At 38.1% G+C, this 26490-nt stretch overlaps 1 protein-coding gene and 1 pseudogene across 4 annotated transcripts in view; one reads left to right on the top strand and one right to left on the bottom strand.

The window, feature by feature from the left end:
• Positions 1 to 26490, top strand: part of TAFA4 (TAFA chemokine like family member 4) — a 200782-nt gene that overhangs the window by 38785 nt on the left and 135507 nt on the right. For all 4 annotated transcript variants that reach the window (XM_011533372.2, NM_001005527.3, XM_011533371.2 and 1 more), the window contains exons 2-3: positions 8453 to 8588; positions 12918 to 13033. In XM_011533372.2, coding sequence (XP_011531674.1) covers positions 8575 to 8588; positions 12918 to 13033 — 130 coding nt within the window. In that variant the 5' untranslated portion in view covers positions 8453 to 8574. The remainder of the gene's footprint in view (positions 1 to 8452; positions 8589 to 12917; positions 13034 to 26490) is intronic.
• RNA5SP135 (RNA, 5S ribosomal pseudogene 135) lies at positions 10672 to 10796 on the bottom strand (annotated as a pseudogene).

The following is a 26490-nucleotide window of genomic DNA, read 5'->3' as shown; positions in this document are numbered from 1 at the left end:
AGCCTTTATCCCACTAATAGATTAGAAAGGCCAATATTGTCTGCGACGGGCTTTGTCTTGCCATGTAATCCACTCATGGCTGCATTTACTGTGTATATATGTCCATGAGCTGTTTGTTAACAGTAGCTAAATCACACTGTACTTTTCCTAAAATGCTCTGTGAGTTATTGTTACAGCTGGAAGGCACCTCGGAGGTCATCCGGTTAAACTGTATTTGTTTACAGATGAGGAATTTGGGAAGCATAGAGATTAAATGACCATTCATTTGGGAGTGAAACTGGGGGCTTACATTTATTCATTTATTAACAAAACATATTTAACTTCCACGGTATGCAAGATATTATACTAGCAGCTGGGGTAGAAGAGAAATAAGACATTATTCTCCCCTCAAGAACTTTACATTCTGGTTATAAGTAAATAGACTCCCACTTGCCCATAGTAATGATGATAGTATTAGAAGACCTATTATTTAATGTTTACAAATATTTTTTATGTAGAAGTTAGATCCTATCATGTAAAAACTTTTCAGATAAAATTCAAGTACTTGGCAACTTGTAGATAATCTCCAAAATTTATGTTGGCTATTGATTATGTTAAATAAAATCCTTAGACATTCTGTTTTGAATATTTGAAAAATGAGAAATGAGAGGAAAATTTCCAATTAAAAACTGGTCCAATTAAAAGAAATAAACCCTCTGCAGTAAGGATAATTGGGCCTTGAGAGATTTATGGCTAAATTGTCATTACCGTTAACATTTGTTCAGCCCCAGACCTGGGCAATTTCACTTGGACAACAAGTTGTGGAGCCATGCTGGGTGCTGCTGATTTTGGTGAGCGCATTTTATTTTATGTAACTTGCCAGCTAAGTTTTCAGTTTTATGTATACTGGATCTCAGTTATTCATTATTACTTAGCAATGATTGCTTTTGTACTTTTTACTTCACGGTCACTTGAAGGCTAGAGTTTTTCTTCATTAACGAAATGCGTGGTTTGACCATATATCCATTAGGAAGGAATTTATCAGTGCACTTAAATGAAGATGCTGTGTGGTTTTAAGGAATTTCTCAGTTCTTAAAGTGACAGAGTGTAAACCATATATAAACATAGCATGTCTATTTATTTAAATCATCTCTGACTAGAAGAGCGTTTTTTAAAAATGGGAGAAGAATCTTATTTCTTTCTTTGTACATATTTATGGGCATATGTACAGTTTTGTTACATGTATAGCTTGTGTAGTGGTCAAGGCAGGGCTTTTAGTGTATCCATCACCTGATTAATGTACGTCATACCCATTAACTGATTTGTCATCATCCACCCCCCTCAAACCTTCTCACTCTGCTAAAACAACTCTCTACCACCTAATTTAGATGAGATGGTATTGGTAACACTTGAAATTAAAATGCCATTTATAAAATTCTTTAATATTTAATAGACAGTTATTGTCTTTAATGGCTCATTTACAACATACTTTAGCATGTTGTAAAATGGTTCAGTAGTAAATTCTTCACTGATGTTTTTAAGGAAGCAATAAAAAGCAATTTATGACAGGTATATACCACATATTGGTGGGAAAACATGTCTGCTTTAACATGTAACAATGAATACTCTCTAAATTACAAAAGTAATTCCACATATGTGATCATTATAAATGATGGCTCAGTGGAGGTTCTGCCGTGTATCAGGTGCTTGAAATATATTCACATAAACGTTGGTAACCTGTTAAGCACATTTACTTTCATCAGCACACTCTTTAATATAAGAAGATCATTAATACCTGCCTTATTTCAGGATATATTTGTCAAGAGAGAAGTTACATTTCATTGTGCATGCTTTGGTGGAAAAGCTGTTTGCAGATTTCTAAAGACAATTCAATGTGATTGTGTTATTTAAGCAACTGGAAATGGAAACATATTACCTCATTTCTGTCTAGAGAAATGATGAATGGTTTTATGTAGGCAAGTTCTGCTTCGAGATTTCTATTGATTATCCCAGAATGGAAAGACATCACTTAGTGGGATAGTCTCCCCCCATCCCTACCCTTCCACTCATAAAACCCTCTAGTTACTCCCCAAACCCAGATTGCTGCTTTCTGAAACATTTTTCACTTCCATCATCTTCTGTCTGGGTGGAAATTAGTGTGGAAAAATGATTTACCACAATATCTAAACGCTTTAGGGTGTCACCTCTTACATCATTAGCTGAAAAAATTATTCCTACTTGTGCCCTAGTACTCAAGGGGCTGAGTACAGAAGGCACCAGGCTATCCCGGTAGATCCCAGCCCGGGAGGTCAGAGATGAACTGATGGTGAGTCTGGAAATAGCTAATTATCCAAACCTCCTCACTCTGGAGGTGATGCAAGATGGGCTTGGAGGTTTCCCTGGTGAGTGGGCAGGCGGGAAAGGGCAGTGTGGTTTAGTAGCACTTGGGCTATTTGTTTGTTATTAAGCAGATTCTGTTTTGCTGTGTACTTTTGCAAAAATGCTTTTGAATTCAAATGTGTTAGGAGATGAGTTTGAGTGGATGCACAGACAAAAATCCATTTTTAATGTTTTGGTGCTGAATTCCTTCATAGAAATCAACCGAAGTAATTTAGCCTTCATGTATGATGTTCTGGCTCTGGTATATCTTCACTGAAACGTTTTAGAGAGTTCTATTCAGAAGTGCAGCTGTTTTCCATCTGTTTAAAAAAATGGTGGTGAAGGCCCTCAAGCTGTATATAATTCTTGCATACTTGGTCTTAATTTGGGAAATGACATTAGTTAACCTTTAATAAATCTGTAGCAAATGAGAAGCCTGTGCCACTGTTTTTCACTAGCTTTTCAGAGATGAGGCAATATTTATTTAGGCATTAATGTAAACCATCATAGGCACAATCCGAGCATCTGCTGACAAATTCAGTCCAATTGTCTACACAAATTCAGCCACAGACAGAATTTTTAATGTCAGATTGATGACCAATGTCTTCAAGTCCTGAAGAAAGATTTATTTTCCTCCTGTTTACTAAAGCATGAAAAGGGACTGGTATTTTTTGGAAATACTTTTACTAGAACTGAAACTGTAGGTACCTTGGTACCAGACAGCATAAATTAGAATCTTGGCTCAGCCACTTACTAGCTAAGTGAGCTTGGACAAGCCACTTCTACCTATGCCATATCGTGATGTAAATAAATCCTTCTTTTAAAGTGAGTTTATATTTTAAAATGACTAACAAGTGCATGGTTCCTAGCAGGCGCTATGTCAGTGTTTTTAAAATAAAAACAAATAAACCTTCTCTGGAGGCTTGGATGAAAGCTCAGAGAGTTGAATTAACCACAACATTCAAACTTTCACTCCCCTTATTGCTTAGAATTGGCAATAAGCTCTCAATCATTTTAGTATATTTTATAAACTGAAGGCTTTTAAGTACGTATGTAATGTCTTAATTTGGTATAATTTCCAATTTAATGAAAAGTTCATAGAAGAGTACAAAGAATTCCCATATACCTTGTGCCCCGATTCACCAATTGCTTACCTTTTGCTTATTAGTTTTTGCATTCATTAATTCCCTTTCTCTTCTTCGTTCCCTCTATCCTGCTCTTCTGTCTCTCTTTCTTCTTGACTTCTTCCCGCTCATGTTTTCTTAAAGTCATTTGAAAATAAATGGGAGGCATTTGCCTCTTTATTCTTAAATATTTCAGGATGTATTTAATAACAAGTGCATTTTCTTTCTTAACTACAGTATGAGGATCAAAATGAGGAAATTTAATGTTGATAGAACACTGTAATGCAATCTACAGGCTATATTCAGATACTGTTGATTTTCTCAATAATGTCCTTTATGGCTACGTATATGTGTCCTTGTTTTTGTGTGGGTGTACAGTTCATTCTGAGGATGACTATTTTTTCCTGGTCCAAGATCCAATGTAAGATCACAGTTGCATTTGGTTGCCATGTTTCTTGCCTTTATTTGAGACAATTCTCATGGTTATTTTAATTTTTTTTGTCTTTCATGACCTTGATACTATTTAGGAATGCAGAGAAATTATGTTGCAGGATGTTGCTCCAATTTGAGTTCATCTGATTTTCCTCATAGTTAGATCCAGGTTTAAGGTCAGTGTGTCTTTCAATTTTAAGAGGAACTGGTATTTCATCATTGTAGAGTTTTAGAGTGAAAAGATGGGGGAAATGTGATGCCCTGCAGATTCATATGTGGAGTGAGGTGGGTGTAGCAGACCGAAGAGGTATTCTGAAGGTGCTCATCTACAAGTGAATGACTGTATTCTGAAAGAATAGTTCTCTGAGGGAATTCACCTCACCAATAATGAAGGCAAGTAGATCAACAGACGAGGAAGGCACAGCCTCTCTATTTTCCTTGATAAGAAATCAAGTGTAGGTAGAATTCTTTCTTGTGTAACATGGAAATAAATTAAACATTTGAAGAATGGGCTCTTCTGCCTGGGAACCTCAAAGTTTCTTGGTACCGGGAGACATAAATAGGCTTTCTGCTCTTTTGTAGTAAATCAGTAACTGTCTCCACATAATACCCACACATCGGGCAGAAGATGAAAAATGCAGCCCAGCATCCACCATCTTTTTAGTTCATTCCGAGAATGACCAGACATGTTCTAAAAAAATTCTCTTAGTCTAGATATGGGCAATGTCTTTCATCATTGAAAACACTGAGACTCTTTAAAAACACATGACTTTTGAAGCAGACTGATAGAAAGGACTGTGTTATAGTTGGGAACAACAGAGGAATAAAATGATTGCAAGTAAATGCTTTCTTTTGGTGCCATGCACAAAGTTATCGATCTTGAATGTACTGAAGTTAGAAGTGACACAGTTTGGTTTAAATGTGCCTTCCAAAACTTATGTTGAAATTTAATTGTCATTGTGATGGTATTAAGAGGTAGGATTATGAAGAGGTGGATTAGGTCATAAGGCCTCCACCCTCATGAATGGATTAATGTCATTATCTCGAGGGCCGTGTTCCTTATTGTGAGAGTGGATTGTTATACAAGCAAGTTCAGCCCTTTCTCCCTCTCTTGAGCACTCTTTCCCTTCCATCTTTTGCCATGGGATAATGTAGCAAGAAGGCCCTCACCAGATGCTGGCACCTTGATATTAGACTTCCCAGTTCTGGAACTATGAGAAATAGATTTTTTTAAAGGTATTCTGTTTCAGTTTCAGGTATTCTGTTACAGCAGCAGAAAACAGACTAAGGCAAAAAATTGGTACAGAGAATGGCGTTATTGCTATAACAAATACTTGAAAATGTGGAAGCAGCTTTGGAGTTGGGTAATGGGTAGAGGCTGGAACAGTTTTGAAGTAAATGCTGAAAAACTGTATTGCTGTGAATGGAGTGTTAAGGGTGGCTCTGGTGAGGGCTCAGAAGAGAATAGCTGTAGGGAAAGTCTGAGACTTCTTAGAGATCACTTAAGAGGTTGTGATCAGAATGTTGTTAGAAATATGGACGGTAAGGGCCATTCTGATGAAGTCTCAAGCAGAAATGAGAAACATGTATTGGAAACCAGAGTAAAGGCAATCCTTGTTTTAACATGGTAAAGAATTTGGCTGAATTGCGTCCATGCACTAAGGTTTTAGAAGATGGAAGTGTTTTATAAGATTCCATTAGAAGATGGAATTTAAGAGCAATGATCTAGTATATGTGGCAGGAGAGTGTTCAAGGTGCTGCATGGCTTCTTTTGGGTGCTTACAGTAAAATGAGTGAATAGAGAAATTAGTTAAAGGCAGAATTTACAATTAAAGGGGAAGCAGAACAGAAAGATTTGGAAGACTCTCTGCCTGGCCATGTGAAGAATAAAACAGCATATTTGGGAGAGAATACTAAGGGTGTGGTCAGGCAAAAGAGATTGCTAAAATGATTGATACAGCTGGAATGGAGCCAGGTGCTTGCTGTTCAAGACAATGAGAAAATTACCCTGATGATATTTCAGAGATCTTTCAGGAAAGCTAGCACCTTGAGGGCAAGATTTCAAGAGGGGTACCTGTGGGACCTCAGCATTCAATGCCCTATGCAGCCTTGGAATTCTCCCCAAATTCCAATGCAGCACCCCTCAAGCAGGCCCAGGTACAGCTAGTGCCAGAGCTTCAGAGGGCACAAGTGGTATGCCTTGATGGTGTCCACATGGTACTGATCCTGTGGAAGTTCAGAGTGCATGAGCCTTGGGGCCATAGTCACCTCCACATAGATTCCAAAAGATGTATCAGGCAGTCTGGGGTCCTGGCAGAAAGTTGTTACAAGGGAGGAGCCACCACAGAGAGCATGTACTAGGGGGCAGTCATGGGAGCGAGGCTACCCCAGAGACTCCCGAAATGTAGAGCTGCAGGTGTACAACTCCAGCCTGGGAGAGCTGCAGGCATAGGACTCCAACCCAAGAGAGCTGCTGAGTGGATCGGGTCCAGCAAAGCCACAGGGGCAGGGCTGCCCGTGGCATTGGCAACCTAATTCCTGCTGTAGCATGTCCAGGATGCAGGACATACAGAGCCAAAGGACATTATTCTCCAGCTTTAAGACTTGATGTTGTTTTACCTGTTGGGTTTTGGACATACTGAGAACCAGTTACTTCTTTTCTTTTTCTATTTCTCCCTTTTGGAATGGGAATGTCTGTTTTATGCCTGTTCCATCACTGTGTTTTGGAAGTAGATAACTTGTTTTGATTTTATAGGCTCACAGCTGGAGGACATTTGAGGTGGGATGAATCTTGAGTCTCATATCTGATTTAGATGGAACTCTGGACACTGGGCTTTTGAATTGATGCTTTTGGGCTATTGAGATGGAATGAATATATTTTGTATGTAAGAAGAACATGAGTTTTGGGAGGCCAGAGGTGGAATGTTATGGCTTGAATGTCTCCTCCAAAACTCATGTTGAAATTTAATTGCCTTTGTGCTATTGGACTTCCTAGCCCCTAGAACTGTGAGAAATAAATTTCTTGGTAAATTACTCAATTTCTGTTCTGTTACAGCAGCAGAAAACAGACTAAGACATGACAAGAAAGAGTTAATTCTTTCAAGTAAGTGCCTCAGGTACACTCTGGGAAAATATGACTGAATGAGTTACTGCTCAGCCTAAAATTAAACTCCTGGCTTCTTGTCTTGCATATGAACTATTAGGTCGCATTACTTTCCACTGATGGATCTATTTTTTTAATGAATTGAAAAAAGAATACCCAGTGGTTCCTTTTGTGTGAAGAAAATAAGAAAAATATTAGCCAGGAAAGGTCATTTTGGTTTCCAATATGTGGGGAGTTCATTATGATGAGTTCTGATGAATTATATTGTGTAGTTCTTTCTGATAGCAGAAGGTCACATCATGCCGTTGGGTGGACGTAAGGACAAACACACTTAATAAAGTTGGAGGATCTGGGAGATGAACATTTTCAAGTTGTTTTTTCTGAGCAACTTGTGTTTATACAGCTATTTAAAGCCATTTCTCTCTTGTTGAACTAATTACTCAAGGCCCATACTCTCTTACATGCAGCCCCAAAGTGGTGAGTCTTCAAATTTATCACCGAAAGTGTTCTCTAATCAAACTTGTGGAATTATCTTTGGGTTATCTAAGAGAAAAATCTCAGTTGTGCTTGGTGGTGGATTCTTAATTGGTTCTACAGGATTCTAAAGTAATTAGACTTCATTTCAAAAATCATTTTTATGTTATATTTGCAACTTGAATATTTATTAACACATATCATAATTTTTCTCTGATCTTTACCACTGGGAGGGATGTATTTAACTTAGCATCTTTACAAATGGTATAGTTTCATGTTCTGTTTTTTTCTTAAGATGTGTTTGCTTTAGGGTCATCTGAGTCCTTTTACAAATGTGTTCACTAAGTAGAAAAATCCTTTTAGGTTTATGCGTTGAGGGAATGTCAACTACAGTATTCACAAGTGTTCTTTATATTTTGGTATGGTGGATTATATTGGAAACACTTTTTCTCTTGGTGTCCTATTAATATTTTTTCAAAAAGCAACCTCATAGATTGTCTAGCATCATCTTCAGGCTTATGTCACACAAATCCAGGAATTCAGATCTTCGTGCTGGCTTTTCCACTGCTCCATGGGCTTGGGCAAATTGCATGTCTTGGGAATGCATTATCTCTAACTTCCATTTTTCCTGATGGTCAATGAAATGGGAGAGTGAAATTTGTGCATTTCAAATGATTTGGGACCCTCTGTTAAATTTTGAATACCCTTCCTGCTGCAGAAAGTTCTTTACAACTATGTGGTGTTAACTAATATGTGGCTAATTAATGACTGTAGAATTCTATATCTTTTCCTCCCTAATAGTAGGACACCTTACAACTATGGATATGTTTGGCTGTCTGCCACTTGCCTGAAACTGCAGGTGTCATGGTTAAAAACCATTATTTTGCTACTGGAAATTAGTTTCATTTTAACATTAAAATGCTAATTGATTCCTTTTTTTTTTTTGGCCTTTTTAACATAGGTCTTCTGAGCTACGATAATTTTTTGGAACGGCAGAAATGATTGGTTCTAGCAACAGATGGGAATTTGGAGTCACTCTGAAATATATCCTGGAATAAGTGTGTTTGACTAGAACCACATCTTATGAGGTCCCCAAGGTAAGATTATTTTAACGTTCACCTGGACATGATATCTTTACAAAGTATTGAGAATTTAGCAAAAGTGAGTATCCTGGAGTTGATGATCCGTTTTAGAAGCCTGCTTTTACACTTTTTGGGAATTTGGGGAAATGTTGATTTTTTCATTTTAGCTTTCATCTGTGAAATGAAAATTATTTCAGTTTGCAAAATAGTACTTTGGTTTATTCAGTAGAGGAAAAAATGAAGAAATACAAATCTATTGCTGAAGAGCTTTCTGGCCCCAACCCTACCACTCTGCCCTGGCATTTCTCTGGGGGAATGGTTGTTGAGCTATTGTTAAGTGAATACTTGTTTTAGAGACAGGGAACTTATTGCTACTAACCCAGCAACTTGTTACATAGAATTGTCCACGTAAGAAGAAGATAGATTAGGGATCATTGCCCAGGATTTGGAATGTGTGCCCTTGAGACTTTTGATTTAAGGCATTTGTTGTTGGAATCCAACCAGGAAAACAGAAACCATTCTGCTGGCTTTTTCACTGCTCTGTGAGCTTGGGTAAATTGCATGTCTTGGGAATGAATTATCTCCAACTTCCATTTTTGTCCAGTGGGAAGTGAATTCAGGAGACTGGTTATACATATGATGGGAGAGTCAGAGAAACTGAGCGGAAGATACACAGGAAGCCACTGCCATCCCCTGGCTGGGAACCATGGAAGCAGTTAGACCGTGGGGAGGCAGTGCCTAGAAGAAGGAAACTAGAGTGGAAACTAGAACCACAGTGGACCCTTCTGGCAGGAACTGGAGCCATGGTGGAGAGATGGCCACCCCACAGATCCTGCCAAAGACAGAGAAGGCGGGGAGAAATGTCCTGGCCTATCCCTTTTCCTATTCTCCAGGCTCCAGCTGTTGCGTTTCCTTGACTGAACCCAGCCAGTAACCAGCTGACCTGGGAGCCTGGGAAATGCAGCCTAGAGGGCCCTCCAGCCCTCAATATAGGGGAAGCGGGAGGAATGGATCTGAAGGCAAGACAGGCCCAGGCTGTCATATAATTCATATATTTAAAATAAACTTTTGTTTCTTTTTAATAAACTTGTTTATTTTCATTTTATAATATCACTTTCATTACTGAAGAACATCCCATCTTGTGGCTGTGTCATAATTTGTTTAACCAGTCTCATACTGTTAAACATTTGGATCATCATTTTTTTTTGTCTTTCCCTCCCTGCCTCCCTGCCTGCCTGCCTGCCTGCCTTCTTTTTTTGAGACAGGGTCTCACTCTTTGCTCAGGCTGGAGTGTGGTGGTATAATCATAGCTCGCTCCTGCCTTGAATTCCTGGCCTCAAGCGTTCCTTCCACCTCGGTCTCCCAGTGTGCTGGGATTACAGGCATGAGCCACCATGCATGGCCAGATCATTTTCAATAGTATAAACAATAAAAAAAAGTCCCATACGTTGCTGGTTATTTCTTTAGGGTTAAATCCTATAAGTGATCTGCTGGATTGTAAACGTTTGACATACATGATCAAATTATCGATCAATTTATGGTTTTATCAAGTTAAACTCTTTCTCTTTGTATTAGAGATATTTCATTCAATTATTGCCAACAGTGGGACATTATTTTAAATATTTTAATTGCTTTCCTTTGAGTGTGGGTGGCATTGTGGTTTTGATGAGTTTCACATCTTTGATTAAATTACACCTGTAAGGCATAGATGAAGGGATTTCACAGGTGTTTTTAAGGTTTCACATACACTGAATTTAGTTAATCAAAAGAGAGACTATCCTGGGTGGGGCTGACCTAATCAGATAAGCCCTAAAAGGGGACTGAGCCTTTCCTGGAGGAAGAGATTCAAACCATGAAGGAGCACGTGCAGGGGCCATGTGGCAAAGACATGAAGGGCTTGAGAGCAGTTCCTGGTCAATAGCAAGAATACGGGGAATACAGAGAGTCCCAAGAAAATGGCTTTTGCCAACAACCTGAGAGCACTTGGAAGTGATCCTTCCCCAGTTGAGCCTCCAGATGAGGACACACCCAGCTGACACCTTGATTTTAGCCTGTGAGTTTCTGAGCAGAAGACCCAGCCAGAACATGCCAGACTCCTGACTTACAGAAACTGTGTGATAATATATCGGTGTTGTTTCAAACTGCTCCTGTCCAAGCTCTAACTAGGCCCGACCCTGCTTAGCTTCTGAGATCAGGTGGGTTGAGGGTAGTATGGCTATAGATTGTTGTTTTAAACTTCTAAGTTTGGTAATTTGCTTCAGACATTGCTAACATTCTAAACTTACACAGAAACATGGAGCCTCTCTGCTTTGAAGGGCCTTTCGTTTCTCAAAGCATGCCTTCCATCTCCACCTCAGTGTACACACATGAAGAGGACAGAAACTCTAGAAACAGCTTGAAAGGTGGCAAAGAAAATAATACGTGGATCTTACCTGAGTTCTAGATGCTATTATCAATCACATAATTTGGGGGAAGTCCAGAGGCTCAAATTCCGGTATTGGATGATTTATTTTTTGTTAATGTAACACTCTGTCTCACACATAATGTTTTAAAATTCCAGTTATTACCCCAATATCAGCTATCAATCTATTTGTTACAAAGGCTTATTCCTCTTACCCAAGGATCAGAAGTTCAAATGGCCACATGTAAATGAGTTGGGCTGGTTGGGCCCAAGGTACTGACTAGTGGGAGGGACTGTGGAGACCCTTCTAGGGGCAGCTGCGACCACGGCAGCCTGTTACTCCCATGTGGAAATGTGAGCCCGGGGATGCCAGGAATAATTTTTCAAGAGAATCTGGATTCTGATTTGCAATCTGGACATTGTATGTGTTGGCAACCAATTCAATTTCTTTCTTTTTTTTTTTTAAAGCACAGATCAAACAAAACACATTTGCAGGCTGGATCAGATACCCTGGCTTCCAGTTTGTCATAATTAGTGGCCCCAAAAGGGACAATTTCAAGGCATCACATAAATGAAAGATTAATTTTTTATTGCTGCATTGCAAATTACCCAACATAGCCGTTTAAAACCATTTTGAAACAGTTTAAAAGGGCAAAAAGAAGCCAGTGCTTTTTGTTGCCTTTAACACCAAGTTCTTCAAACATGATTGGCCTGGCTACTTAAAAAGCAGACCAAATCTCAAATCAATGAGCAATACACCCTTTAACAAGATCTATTTGACGGAATTGTGAGAGGTCACGGAGAGAGAATGTTGGCAGCAGAACATGTGTGTGCCTCGGCGTATGGTGTGGCATTCAATTCCCCTGAGGCTTTGATGTGTTTTCGTGGAGTAGGGGACTGGGACTTTCGTAGAGGCACTGCTAGGTTGCTGGGAGCTGGAGATGCTTCCTTATAGGACTTCCTTAGGGGTCTTGCCTATAGTGTGACTCAGGCAAGAAGCCAAACTCAGGTACCATGTTTTTATTGTCGGCCCATAAGTGTGTATACATTTGCATATATTAAACAGGGGTTTCTTTGATCCATTGTGGTAATAATAGATGCCATGAGGCATGTGTAAGGAAGAACCTATTAGCACCGGAATTTCAGATGCCAAATGCGGTGAGTTTTGCTTCAAAAGTTAATATAAAAAAAGCAAACAAAAAAAGTTAATCGAGTTCTATCTACTTAATTCCCTTCTGATGTTATAAAATGGCAGAAAGTTAGGCAGCTGGGAATAATGTTTTTGATATCTTCCTTTTTTTTACTCTTTTGTTTTAGAATAGACCATGCAACTGAATTGTCATGTGAACGGAATTGTTTTTGAGCAACTGTTTTGATACTGTCCATCATACGAAGTTAAATTTATTTTATATTCACCTGTATTTGCCCATACTCCTTCCCAAAGGAGGAGTTGAGATTGGTTTAATCAACTATGAACCTAGTCTTCCAGACCAGAAAGCCTTAGGGTACAGTCAGAGAAACCAGGAGAAAGTTCTTGGACCACATGTGCAAAATCTCCATGGATTCTTTCAGATCCAGAAAACATATATATTTTATTTGGATCTGGCTCTAAGTGTGTTGCTTTTACATCTCATGGTATAAAATAGAATAAAATCCCCATGCTCTATTAGGGTAACTCAGGCAACAACTTGCAGATTCATAAATAAGCTTCTCACTGATGCATAGTGCTAACTTGGAAAACTCTTAATTATCAAAGGTTTTTATTGAAAATTTAGTTAATGCTAAGTGCAAATAAGGTTTGATTGGTCTTCTGTTTTCTTGGGAGAAAGGAATTCCAGCTCCAGGGATCTGCCCCTGCTTTCTCCCGCCTTCCTAGAATGGTGCTTGCCAGGGAGTCTGGCCTTCCTCAGCCCTCACTGACTCCAGCCCTGCTTTTCCTCCAGGATGAGAGTCTGTGCTAAGTCAGTGTTGCTGTCGCACTGGCTCTTTCTAGCCTACGTGTTAATGGTGTGCTGTAAGCTGATGTCCGCCTCAAGCCAGCACCTCCGGGGACATGCAGGTAAGCCCTTTAAGCTCATTATGCACTGCTGAGATAATAAAACCCCTCCAAATGTCAGAGTCCACATTTTAGACACAGATAACTGATGTGAGCTTCTGATGGTGTGTAAATAACTAGAGGAAGCATGAAATATGGCGGAGTAACACAGTTTAATGGTTTAGTGCTTTAAGAGTCCTTTAAAAATATTTTTCAGGCTTTTAAAAACTTTTGTTTTCTTGGGCACACTTTTATTTTTATAGCAGTTTTTCTCAAGGAATCCCAGAAAACCATCAGCAATTTGTGTGGTTGGCGTGTGTGTGTGTGTGCATACATGTCAGTCCATCTGCCCATCCATCCATCCACTCCTGCAGCTTCCTTAGAAGTAGAACATCTTTATGATAAACTTAAACTAACACTTACAGGGCTTTAGTGAAGGGAATAGTCAGATAATTTAAGATCTTTTTGAGAGATGTGGAGAAAATATGCTACATGATTTTTTAAAAAAAGAAAAGAGAAAAAGCTGTGGTAACTTTTGTAAGGGACTTAAAATGGGTGTTGTCTAAAGATTTAGAGGCAGTCATTCTGATAACTTCTAGTGAGACTCATATCTCTGCATTGCTGATTTTTAAAGGCGAGATCAAAACCATCAGCTACCGATCAGTTTGTGTGTTTGTGTGTGTGTGTGTGTGTGTGTTTCTGTCCTTTCTTTCTTACATCAACATTTAAAGTGACACAGTGGAAACTCCCCAGCAAATTGTGTTTTCCTGAATAATTCATATGTGTCAATGGACTTGTTGTCAATTAATTTACTCTCTCAGCTTTGGTAATCTGAGGCGTGGCAGTGCCAGAAATGTTTTGACTTCTTTGGGAAAGAGTGATGCCTGAACCCTAAATCACGTATGGGTCAGAATTATAAATTCTGTCTCCAAAGGTCTTGTGTTTGGAAAGTTCATGAGATATTCTTACCACCAAATATATAACATGTCATACTTTCCACTTCGTTATTCTGATATTTTAAGGTTAGTCATAATTTAAGGCTCAAGATAATTTTTAAAATCTCACACAACTCAATTTTCCCTCCTCAAGTGACAGTTCCAAGAAGATGAGAAAAATAATGATTGAAGTTTCAGCAAATCAGCATAAAATCAATACCATTTGGCTGCTGTGAAGTGCCCACAGCTAGTTGGTTATTGTGCTGTGCCTATTTTTATGAGTTTGTTCACGAGGATAGTGTTTGAGGTCCTCAATCTTATCTCTTTTCTTGAGTGGAGTTTAAGAGTCAGATTAGTTGACAAGTGAAGCATTTCAGTAGGATTACCACCCACTCCCATTCATGCTATAAATTTTATCTAATGATCTTCAGGGAATGAAAGTCCATGATCCTTGCAATGTCCATGTGGCATTTTTGTCCCAGTTTAGTGCTCAGCTGATGGAGAACTCAGGATCACCAGAATTAATTGGGGCAGTGCACCGAGATCCTGAGAAACTCTGGTCAGATTTTCACTCTACTGTGGGTATATTATAGGAAGTCTGACAGCGGGAGCAAGTTGCAGAGTGTTATCTGCAAACGGCTGTGTCTGAGTGTCCAGAGAGGCTCCTGGCACTGTCCCATGGGCTTCATGGTTAGTGCTGGCCAATTAAAGAAATGATGGCACTAGGAAACCCTAGTTAGAAGTTGGATGCTTTTTATGGCTTGGATTAGAAGAGTGGATGTTGATTGCTGTGTGTAAACAAGGAGGTATTTTACAACCCTATCTCCACCTACCTGGCTAAGAGACACAGAAGAAAGGTGGGAATCTCCCCCCCAGTTTTGGCAGATGGGTGTTACGGTAGGTGTGTATCAGAGATGTAATTTTAGTTTAAGCATTAAAAAAACCAAAATGAAAACCCACCTAATTTTCACAGGTTGGGTGGTGAGACTCTTTCTTGAAGACAAATGGCATTAATACATTTCCACAGAATCCAGTAGTATTTTTAAGCAACTAAAAAACGCAAAAGACAGGTTTTGTTGTTTTTAAAGTCTATTTTCCATCATAATTGAGCAGGCAGGAGATCACATACACATATGGGACTGTGTAGCTTCAAGCTGTAGAAAAGGTGAAGGGGCCAATTGGCAGGTTCGTTTCTTTTAAAAGGAGGCCAGGGCTAACTCTTGTTATTTCTTCAACTAGCAATTTGTCCTTTTGTTCCTTTTTTTTTGGCTGTAAGCAGTGCCTTATTTCCCCACAAGAGGGTAGCAAATATGTTTTGTGCAGTGGAAAGATGCCTTCTGGAAGGAAGTTTCAGAAACTCAACTCCTGTGGAATTAAAGATTTAGGGATCTTCCTAGAAATTTCATCTGGTATAGACACGAGTAGTTGGGACACAAAGCATCTTACAACTTTAAGATTTATTCCTGTGAATACTAGGAGACTTCAAAAATTCAGATTTTTATCCTTTAAAGATGGAGTCATAGCTAGTTTTCTGATGGAGCTGAGAAAGTTGAGAACTTGGGTGCTATTGATTTATACGTTCACTTTAATAGTTCCATTTCCCTAGAGAACTTTGAATATAACCTGGACTGCACTATTTCAATTCCACAAAATGCTGTGGTGCTTGGTGACTATTTAATAAAATCTGTTGGCATAAAGTCCCTGGAAAAACTGGGGCACACCTGGAAATGAGGCAGGAAAGGAAATCAAATGTTGGGGGGTCTAAAGTCAAACCTAATTCTGGTTCTGGTACATCCTGGCTGTGTGGCCTTATCCAGGCCACTTAACCTCTCTGAACCTGTTTTATCATCTGTAAAAATGGAATGATATCCATGCCTATTTTATTTGGAGTTATTGGGATAACTAATAAGGAAAAATAGGTGAAGGGATTAGCACATAGTAAACATTCCATAAATGGCAGCTGTTTTCACATTTGGAGGCATCGAGAATGAGTGTGGAAAGGTTCGCATTCCAGGAACAGCTGAAGACTGTGAGCATGGGTAGGTAGATGTGGTCAGAGCCTTCAGGGTTTGAAGATTTCTCATGCATAAGAGAAAAAGGCTTGTTTTTTCATTGTTCTAGTAAGCTGACTGTGGCGAAGAAAGTTGCTCTATGAAGACTGAGGTTTCAGCTCAACCTTAAGGAGAGAAAGGCTTCAACAAGCTGGGGAACAGAGTGACCCAGAAGGGTGTTGAGAGCCCTTTTATTTGCTGGCCTTGACCTAAATCTGCTGTAGAGAGGATGTATCACTGATTGGGAAGTAGTTAGATGTCAAGAATTGTGAAGGGTCTGAGCTTTTACCCTCCTTGCAAGCTAACAGGTTAGCTGGTCATAGTTTCGTGGATGCTGGGCAGAAGGCATGAGATGCTTGGGTCAGAGACAAAAGATTTTACTTTATTTTAATTAATCAATTAATTTTTTGAGATGGAGTCTCCCTCTGTCACTTATGCTGGAGTGCAGTGGCGCAGTCTCGGCTCACTGCAACCTCTGCCTCCCAGGTTCAAGTGATTCTCCTGCCTCAGCCTCCTGAGTAGCTGGGGTTATAGGCGCCTACCACAGCGCCCAGCTAATTTTTGTATTTTTAGTAGAGGTGGGCTTTCCCCATGTTATCCAGGCTGGTCTCGAACTCCTGACCTCAAGTGATCCACCCACCTCGGCCTCCCAAAGTGCTGGGATTACAGGCCTGAGACACTGCGCCCGGCCCGAGACAAAAGATTTTATTACTCATGGCAGAGGAAGCAGCATGAGCTTCAGTTTTGCTTCAGTTCTTCTTTCATTCTTGGGCAAGTTATGAAACCTCTTCGGGACTCAGCCTCTTTCTATGTAAAATGAGAATAATAAAAATAATAAAAAATAAGTCTCACGGTTATAATAAGGAATCAATTAATACCTGGGAAATGCTGAGAACTGTGTTTGCTTAGTGAGTGCTCAAATGCTAGTTATCCTTATTTAGAGCTGTCTTCTTCTTTTGAATGTTATCTGTTTTGTAGAGGTTCTGTACTGTTCAAATTTATGGAAATTTAGGTTTTCTGTTTTTTTTTCTGTTATAAATGATTATGCAAAATATGCATGTTGTGATTGTGTGTTTTGGTGGTTTATGTTATTTTTAACTTAGGGTAAATTTTTTGAAGAGCAGTTGTTGCATCCAAGTTTGATCCCATGTTTTCTGTCCCCTATGATGGCTGAAATTTATAGGAACCCTGCAAATACTCTTGACTAAATAGCATACGCTGTTTTAGTTCTAATTTTCTACAATAAACCTGGTAATTTCAAAAATACTAACTGAGTGGGGAATATAACATCTACTACAGGAGTCTCTCTGAGGCTTAAATTTGAGATAACATTTGTGAAAATGATAAAATTGTATGTACAGGCGGCTATACTTGTACTTTGCCGGCAGAAATGAATTGTACTTAACACAGATGCGTTTGAAAAATGATTTGCCTGCATTGCCTAAGTTCTGACACTAGGGGGTAGGCAAGGCTTATCATAGCTAAATAGAGCCACATGTAATTTTGCATGTTATAAAGCTGCGCTGAAAAAAGTAAAAGGCAACAGAGGAAATTAATTTCACTAACACATTTTATTTAACCCAATATATTCAAAATATTATCATTTTAACATGTGACCCTAGCCACGTTTCAAGTGCTCAATAGTCACATGTGGTTAGAGCCTACTATGATAAGTCCCATGAACTAATAATGAGTTAGGTCTTAATGTTGCTTTTTTAAAGATTGGAATTATGGGTTATTTTAATTTTCATGGGTCAGTCATAGAGCACATTGTTTTATCTCTCTTTATTTCACTTAATTTCTTTTATGTTTTATTTAGTTATTTAGTTCTCTCTCTCTTTTTTTTTTTTAAAACAAATGACTACTAAATTTAGAAAAAGTACCAGGTAAGTGGGATTCGTAACCTCAAGTAATAAAGAATGGGGAAGAGTTCTGTTTCCTGATGAATAGCTTATGCTGTTATTCTCTGCAAGAGCATATTTTTAGGGAGAGGGAAGTGGCAAAAGTAATTTGACAGTGTGTGTGTGTTTATGCATGTGATATCAACCATTAAGTCTTAAAGTTACCCACTAGCAAACTTATTTTGATCAATAATGAGCACTTACCCACTGGGGTAAGTGAAACCTGATGATACCATTTTAATATGGTTTCTCCTGTACTTTTCTCTATCTTCCTTCTTCCTGTCCCACTTCCAGTGAATGGTTATTTCAGTAAATCTATGGATGTATTGCTATGCAGGCAACTCCACAATAGCATACACTATTTTATGAGCAAGAAAAAGAAAAGACTGTGGAATGGTTTAAAGGTCCTATGTTTTGGTAGCAATGGAAAAAGGCATCCATAAGATAGTGGTTACTTTATTCTCTCCCTGGGGAGCTTTTGCACGAAAAACACAGAGGGCCCACTGCAGCGAGATTCCATCTGAACCTTACAAAGTAGAGTGCAGGCACCTGTATTATTTAACAACCGTACTATTGATTACTCAGACCTGCAGCCAAAGATGAGAACAAATGATTCAGAAGTTAAAAAAAAAAAAAAACTGGAAGTTTGACTCTAGCTCCTATCAAGGTACAGTTTGATGTGGGTGGTGATGTCTCCATTTCAGTCTTGCTATGACATAGTTAGGCTGAGGAGAGTTGTCACCCTGTCAAGGTGACCTCCATTTCCACCTCTTGGGAAGGACTGTGAAAATACTTACTCATTTTGTACCAGCTCAGCTTTTTGAATGCTAAAAGCTTCCATGGTGAGGGATTCCACTAGCCTCCGTTGTACCCCATATTATATTTCTTCAGTGCCATCTTGATGGGCTCAGCTTTTAATAAGAAGGGAAAGGAACACATTATATGCAGTGTTCATATTTGGCTTCTTCTCACCTCCTCAGCTGCAAGTTCAAGTCCCAGTGCCACTGGCAAGTTCAGCTTTGTGAAATGTCTGACAAATGAGCATGCTTTACATCCTTTGTGTGTGTGTGTGTGTGTGTGTGTAAAGAAAGGGTTGTATTACTGACGGGAGTAAAGAATTTCAGTTCCTCAAATGAGCTTGTGAGCCATCCTACTTGGCAGAGTAGGCTTTTTCACCCTTCCCTCTTTGAGTCTTTAGGGCAGAACAGGCAACTGTCTTTGAAGAGTTCCTCGGGTAGTTTGGGAAAAGATTCTCCTTACCCTTGAGAAGAAATTTCCCTTTTTCTTCTTTCAAGCCACGGCCTTAGACTCATCTAAACAAAGCCTACAATTTGGGGTTTAAAAAGCTACAGGTCAATACCTCATCTGTATGCCAGTGCTATACGAGGAAATTGGAATCATTTGTTCCCTATAAGGAAAATAAAATCATTGGTAAAAAGAAACAGCAGGGGTAGAGACGGGGCAGGAAGAAAAATGACGTTTTGTATTTTCCTAGGTGTTGCTTGGATGCTTTAAATATTTTGGTCCATATGGTAGTCTCAGAATAGAACACTGGAAATAATATTTTTGAAGGGACATTTAAAAACCCATTACAAAGGATTGATTGTGAGAAGACTGTGTTTGCAAGAGTTAAAAACAATTTGACTACTAAGGCCAAGTACCATCAATGCTTATATTTTAGGGTATGTCTGAAATCAGATAAGAACTATAACTAAGTCCGACAGGGTTAGAAGGGCCTGAGATTGTTGGGTGTCTCCAACTGGGCTCTGTTTTTTTCTTAGCTGTTGGGGATTGGGTAATGGGATCCTAGAAGCAGAGAGGGAACAATAGAGAAATTTGTTTCAGGAAAAATATAATATAGGCATGAAATGAAAGAAGTGAATAGCAACAGTGTTGTTAGCAGCAGGCAATTTTTCAGTAGCTCATCACTGACATTGCACAGCTACCTGGGAAAGGGCTGGGAATAAATACCAGCCATCCAAGGGTGTGGGAGATTTCAGCAATCCGAACTTGGTTGTGCATAAAGGAGTCAAGAGGTGTGTCTTCTTCCCCAAAGTCAAACAGTTACAGATTTTGGAAAAGTCTCCTTTGCTCTGGAAAGTCTTATTTGTTGTTTAGAAAGCATTTGCAAGAAATAGTGGGAGGCTTGTCTTTCAAGTGGCACTTTCAAAGGCTGGTTGGATTTGAGCTAGAGAAATGAACATGTGAACATGTTGCTGTTTTCTGCCCTCCCTGCAAGTGTCCTGTGGTCATTTTACAGGCTTTTCAAGTAAGTGTTGCCCCGTGGAGGACAGTGATTTCTAACTATGCATAGTCTATATGTTTGAGCTGTTGCCGGCTAAACATATCCAATAGGAAATAATACCCAAATTGAAAGGGAGAGAGCAGCTATTAATATGAATTACTTGTCTAGTTAGTTGCTTTCAGGATACCATCTAGAAATTGGAAACATTCACAGAATGGCTAGGTCAGCATTTTTCTGGCCCAGGGTGTGTGTGTGTGTGTGTGTGTGTGTGTGTGTGTGTGTGTATGTCTGCGTGTGTCTGTCTGTTGTGTGTGTGTCTGTGTCTGTTTCTATTTGTCTTCTCCTGGAAAACAAGTATGACGTTGTTTGATCTCTCCAGGTGAGAGCAAGGTTGTTAGCCTCTCCTACCTTATGTTGTACTGATCTGGAATTTGTTTTCTAATGAGCCTGATGCATGCCTCATAGGTGTGTGACACATCAGAACCTGGATTGTTTCTATAAGTCACTGAGACCTAAGTTTGAACCCTACTAATTTTAGAATTTGTAATGGAATGTGTGATGAAAGATCAGCCTTGAGATGATACGGCTGATATTTACCCATGCTGTCTATGAAAAGGGATTTGCTAAGCAAATAAATGGTGTAAATATATTTACCAAGGAGCTGTTCACGTTATCTTAAAAAATCGTCAAGTGCTTTGGAAGCATTTATTTAACATGAAGTCAAAATGCTTGTGCCTTCTCTCTGCAAAGTCCTACCTATGTGACCCTGGGCAAAGTTATTTAATCTCTCTGAGCCTCAGTTTCTTCTTCCTGGAAGTGAGTATTACAACATCCCCTACCTAAAAGTATTTTTGTGACATGAAATGAGACAATTTATCTAAAGAGCTTGGTATTATGTCTGGAATTTAATGCATTTTCTTATTTATTATTGCTACATAATAGTTGTGCATATCTTTGGGGTACATGTGATATTTTGATACATATATACAATGTGTAATGATCAAACCAGGACAGTTGCAACATCGATCACCCCAAACATTCACCCTTTCTTTATGTTGGGAATATTGTGATTCCTCTTCTCTAGCTATTTTGAACTAAAACTAAATTATTGTTAACTATAGTTACCGTACCATACTATTGAACACTACCTCATATTTCTTCTCTCTAACTGCATTTTTTTAAACTATTAACCTCTGTTCATCTCTCCCTCCTCCCAACCCTTCCTAGCCCCTGGTAACCACCAATCAACTTTCTACCAGTATGAAATCTACTTTTCTAAGCTCTCACATATGAATGAGAGCATGCAGTATTTATTCTGTGCCTGGCTTATTTCAGTTAACATAATGACCTTCAGTTACATCCGTATTGCTGCAAATGACAGGATTTTATTCTTTTTTATGACTGAATAATATTCCATTATATATATATATGTACCACATTTGCTTTATCCATTCATCCAGTGATGGACACTTACGTTGTTCCCATATCTTGGCTGCTGTAAATATGGCTGCAATAAACATGGGAGTATAGTTATCTCCTTGATATTCTGGTTTCCTTTCTTCTGGATAGATATCCAGCAATGGGATTGCTGGATCATTTGGTCCTTTTAGTTTTAGTTTTTGAAGGACCACTGTATTGTTTTCCACAGTGGCTGTACTAATCTACATTCCCCCAATGATGTATGAGTGTTCTCCTTTCTCCACATTCTTGCCAGCATCTGTTATTTTTTGTCTTTTTGATAAAAACCATTTTGACTGGGGTGAGATGATATCTCAGTGTGGTTTTGACTTGCATTTCCCTGTTGATTAGTGATGCTGAGCATTTTTTCATATACCTGTTGGTCATTTGTATGTCTTCTTTTGAGAAATGTTTATTCAACTCTTTTGCCCATTTTAAAACTGGATGGTTTTTATTTTTTGCTGTTAAGTTGTTTGAGTTCCTTATATATGCTGCTTATTAATTGATTGTTGGATGGATAGTTTGCAAATATTTTTGGCCTTTTCATAGGTTATCTTTTCACTTTGCCGATTGCTTCCTTTGCAATGCAGAAAATTTTTGCTTTTGTGACCTGTGCTTTCAAAGTCTTACTAAAAAAATTTTTGCCCGGACCAATGTCTTGAAGCATTTCCCCAGTTTTTGCTTCTAATAGTTTCATAGTTTCAGGTGTTAGACTTAAGTCTTTACTCCATTTTGATTTGATTTTTGTATATAGTGAGCGATAGGGGTCTAGCTTTGTTCTTCTGCATATGGTTTTTCAGTTTTCCCAGCACCATTTTTTGAAGAGACTGTCCTTTCCCCAATATAGGTTCTTGGTGTCTTTGTCAAAAATGAGTTGGTATTGTAAATAGTGCTGCAATAAACATTCGTGTGCATGTGTCTTTACAGTAGAATGATTTATAATCATTTGGGTATATACTCAGTAATGGGATTGCTGGGTCAAATGGTATTTCTGGTTCTAGATCCTTGAGGAATTGCCACACTGTCTTCCACAATAGTTGAACTAATTTACACTCCCACCAACAGTGTAAAAGCATTCCCATTTCTCCACATCCTCTACCGCATCTGTTGTTTCCTGACTTTTTAATGATCGCCATTCTAACTGGCATGAGATTTTGGAACCAACCCAAATACCCATCAGTGATAGACTGGATAAAGAAAATGTGGCATGTATACACCATGGAATACTATGCAGCCATAAAAAAGAATGAGTTCATGTCCTTTGCAGGGACATGGATGAAGCTGGAAACCATCATTCTCAGCAAACTAACACAGGAACAGAAAACCAAACACTGCATGTTCTCACTCATAAGTGGGAGTTGAACAATGAGAACACATTGATACAGGAAGGGAAACATCACACATCAGGGCCTGTCGGGTGGGGAGCAAGGGGAGGGAGAGTATTAGGACAAATACCCAATGCATGCCGGGCTTAAAACCTAGACGGTTGGCTGATAGATGCAGCAAACCACCATGGCACATGTATACCTATGTAACAAACCTGCACATTCTGCACATGTATCCCAGAACTTTAAAGTAAAATAAAAATTAAAAAAATGAGTTGGCTGTAAATGTGTGGATTTATTTCTGGGTTCTGTATTCTGTTCCACTGCTCTATGTGTCTGTTTTTATGCTAGTACCATGCTGTTTTAATTACTATGGCTTTGTAGTATATTTTGAAGTCAAGTAGTGTGATGCCTCCAGCTTTGTTCTTTTTGTCCAGTTCGGATTGTTTTGGTTATTTTGGGTCTTTTATGGCTCCACATGAATTTTTGCATTGTTTTTTCAAGTTTTGTGAAGAATGTTACTGGTTTTTGATAGAGATTGCATTGAATCTATAGACCACTTTGGGTAGTATTGACATTTTAACAATATTAATTCTTCTAACCCATGAGTATAGGCGTGTTTCTTTTTTTGTGTGTCTTCTTCATTGACTTTCATCAATGTTTAATAGTTTTCTTTGTAGAGATTTTTTGCATCTCTGGTTTAATTTATTTCTAGGTATTTTATATTCCTTGTGTCTATTGTAAATGATGTTGGTGCCTTGATTACTTTTTCAGATTCTTTGCATATAAATGCTATGGATTTTTATATGTTAATTTTGTATCCTGCAACTTTACTGAATTCACTTATCAGTTCTCAGTGTTTTTTGTTGGAATCTTTAGGCTTTTCTAAATGTAATGTCATGTCATCTATGAACAAGAATGATTTGTCTTCTTCCTTTCCAATTTGGATGCCCTTTATTTCTTTCTCTTGTCTAATTGCTGTGGCTAGAACTTCAAATGTTATGTTGAAAAAAAGTGGTAAATTTGTGCATCCTTGTCTTATTCCAGATCTTAGAGAAATGTCTTTCAATTTCCCCCCAAGCAGTATGTTAGCTGTGGGTTTGTTACGTATGGCCATTTTTGTTTTGAGGTGTGTTCCTTCTGTACCCAATTTGTTGAGAGTTTTTATCATAAAAGAATGTTGAATTGTGTTGAATCCTTTTAAAACATCTGTGGAAATGATCGTATGGTTTTTGTCCTTGATTCTGTTAATCTGATGTATCATGTTTATTGATTTGCATATGTTGAACCATCTTTGCATCCCTGGGATGACATTGATTATTTGATCATGGTGAATGATCTTTTTATTGTGTCATTGAATTTGTTTTCCAGTGTTTTGTTGAGGACGTTTACATCTGTGTTCATCAGGGATATTGGCTTGTAGTTTTCTTTTCATTGTGTCCTTATCTGGTTTTGGTGTAAGGGCAATGCTGGCCTTGTAGAGTGAATTTGCACATATTACCTCTTCTTCATTTTTTTGAATAGTTTGAGTATAATTGGTGTTATAAGTAGTTCTTTAAATATTTGGTGGAATTCAGCAGTGAAGCCATCATGTCCTGGGCTTTTCTTTGATGGGAGATGCTTTATGACTGCCTTAATCTCATTATTTGTTATTGATCTGTTTGAGTTTTCTATTTCTTCCTGGTTTAATCTTGGCAGGTTGTATGTGTCCAGGAATTTATTCATTTCTTTTAGCTTTTCGAATTTGTTGGCATATAGCTGTTGATGATCCATTGAATTTCTGTGGTATCAGTTGTTATGTGTTCTTTTTTTTCTTTCTGATTATATTTATTTGGGTCTTCCCTCTTTTTATTCTTAGTCTAGCTAAACGTTTTTCAATTTTTTTATCTCTGCAAAAAAACAACTTTTTGTTAATCTTTTGTATTTTTTAAAGTTTCAATTTCATTATTTCTGCTCTGGTATTATTTCATTCCTTCTACTAATTTTGGATTTGGTTGGTTGTCTTCTAGTTTACTGAGATGTATCATTGTTTATTTGAACTTGTTCTACTCTTTTGAAGTAGGCATTTATTGCTATAATCTTCACTTTTAATGCTGCTTTTTCTGTATCCCATAGATTTTGGGATGTTTGTTTACATTTTCATTCCTTTCATGAATTTTTAAATTTCCTTCTTGCTTCATTTTCCCATTGATCATTTAAGAACATGTTGTTTAATTTCCATGTGCTTGTATAGTTTCCAAAGTTCTTATTACTGATTTCTACGTTTATTCCAATGTGGTCAGAAAAAAATACTTGATATCATTTTTAGTTTTTTGAATTTGTTGAGACTTGTTTTGTCACTCAACATGTGACCTGTCCTGGAGAATGTTCCATATGCTGATGAGAAGAAGGTGTATTTTGCAGCAGCTGGATGAAATGTTCTGTAAATGTCAGGTCCATTTTGTCTAGAGTGTAGTTTAACTCTGATGTTTCTTTGTTGATTTTTCTGTCTGGATGATCTGTACATTATATATATATTTGGGTGCATATATATTTACAGTTGTTATATCCTCTTGCTGAATTCACCCCTTTATCGTTATATAGTGAACCTCTTTGTCTCTTTTACAACCTTTGACTTGAAGCCTATAACTGGTATAAGGTTAGCTACTCCTGCTCTTTTCTCATTTCCATTTGCATGGAATAGCTTTCCTTCCTTTCACTTTCAGTCTATGTGTGTCTTTATAGGTGAAGTGAATTTCTTGTAGGCAGCTTATAGTTGGGTTGTGTTTTTCAAAAATCTACTCAGCCACTCTATGTCTTTTAGTTGGAGAATTTAGTCAATTTACATTCAAGGTTGTTATTGGATATGGAAGTACTTACCACTGTCATATTGTTATTTTCTGGTTGTTTTGTGACTCCTCTCTTTCTTCCTTTGTTACTGTCTTCTTCCTCTGTGGCTATGTGATTTTTTTCTCTGGTAATATGTTTTAATTTGTTGCTTTTCATTGTTATTGTATCTATTATAGGTTTTTGCCTCGCAGGGTTTACCATGAGGCTTACAGAAAACTTCTTATAGATATAACAAGTTATTTTAAATAAACGATAAGTGATTACAAAGAAAAGAAACAAACAAATGAAAAACAAAAACCCTGCACTTTAACTTCATCCCTTCCACATTTTGACTTTTCGTTGTCTCAATTTTCATCTTTTAATATTGCCTATCCCTAATAAGTTGCTGTTGTCATTGTTACTTTTGATAGATTTGTCTTTTAGTTTTCATATTAGTGACATGAGTGGGTTACACACTGTAATTACAGTATTAGGATATTTTGAATTTATCTGTGTACTTACTTTAGCAGTTAGTTTGTTACCTTCAAATGTTTTCTTTTTGCACATTACTGTTTTTTTCTTTCAGATTGAAGAACTCCATTTAGCATTTCTTGTAAGACAAGTCTAGTAGTGCTGAATTCCCCCAGCTCTTGTTGTCTGGGAAAGACTTCATCTGTCCTTCATGTTTGAAAGAAAGCTTTTCTGGGTGCAGTATTCTTGGCTTATGGTTTTTTTCTTTAGCAGTTTGAATATGTTGT

The sequence above is a fragment of the Homo sapiens genome, chromosome 3 (assembly GCF_000001405.40).
Source record: "Homo sapiens chromosome 3, GRCh38.p14 Primary Assembly".
NCBI classification, from domain to species: Eukaryota; Metazoa; Chordata; class Mammalia; order Primates; family Hominidae; genus Homo; species Homo sapiens.
This window is presented reverse-complemented; position numbering and strand designations above follow the sequence as displayed.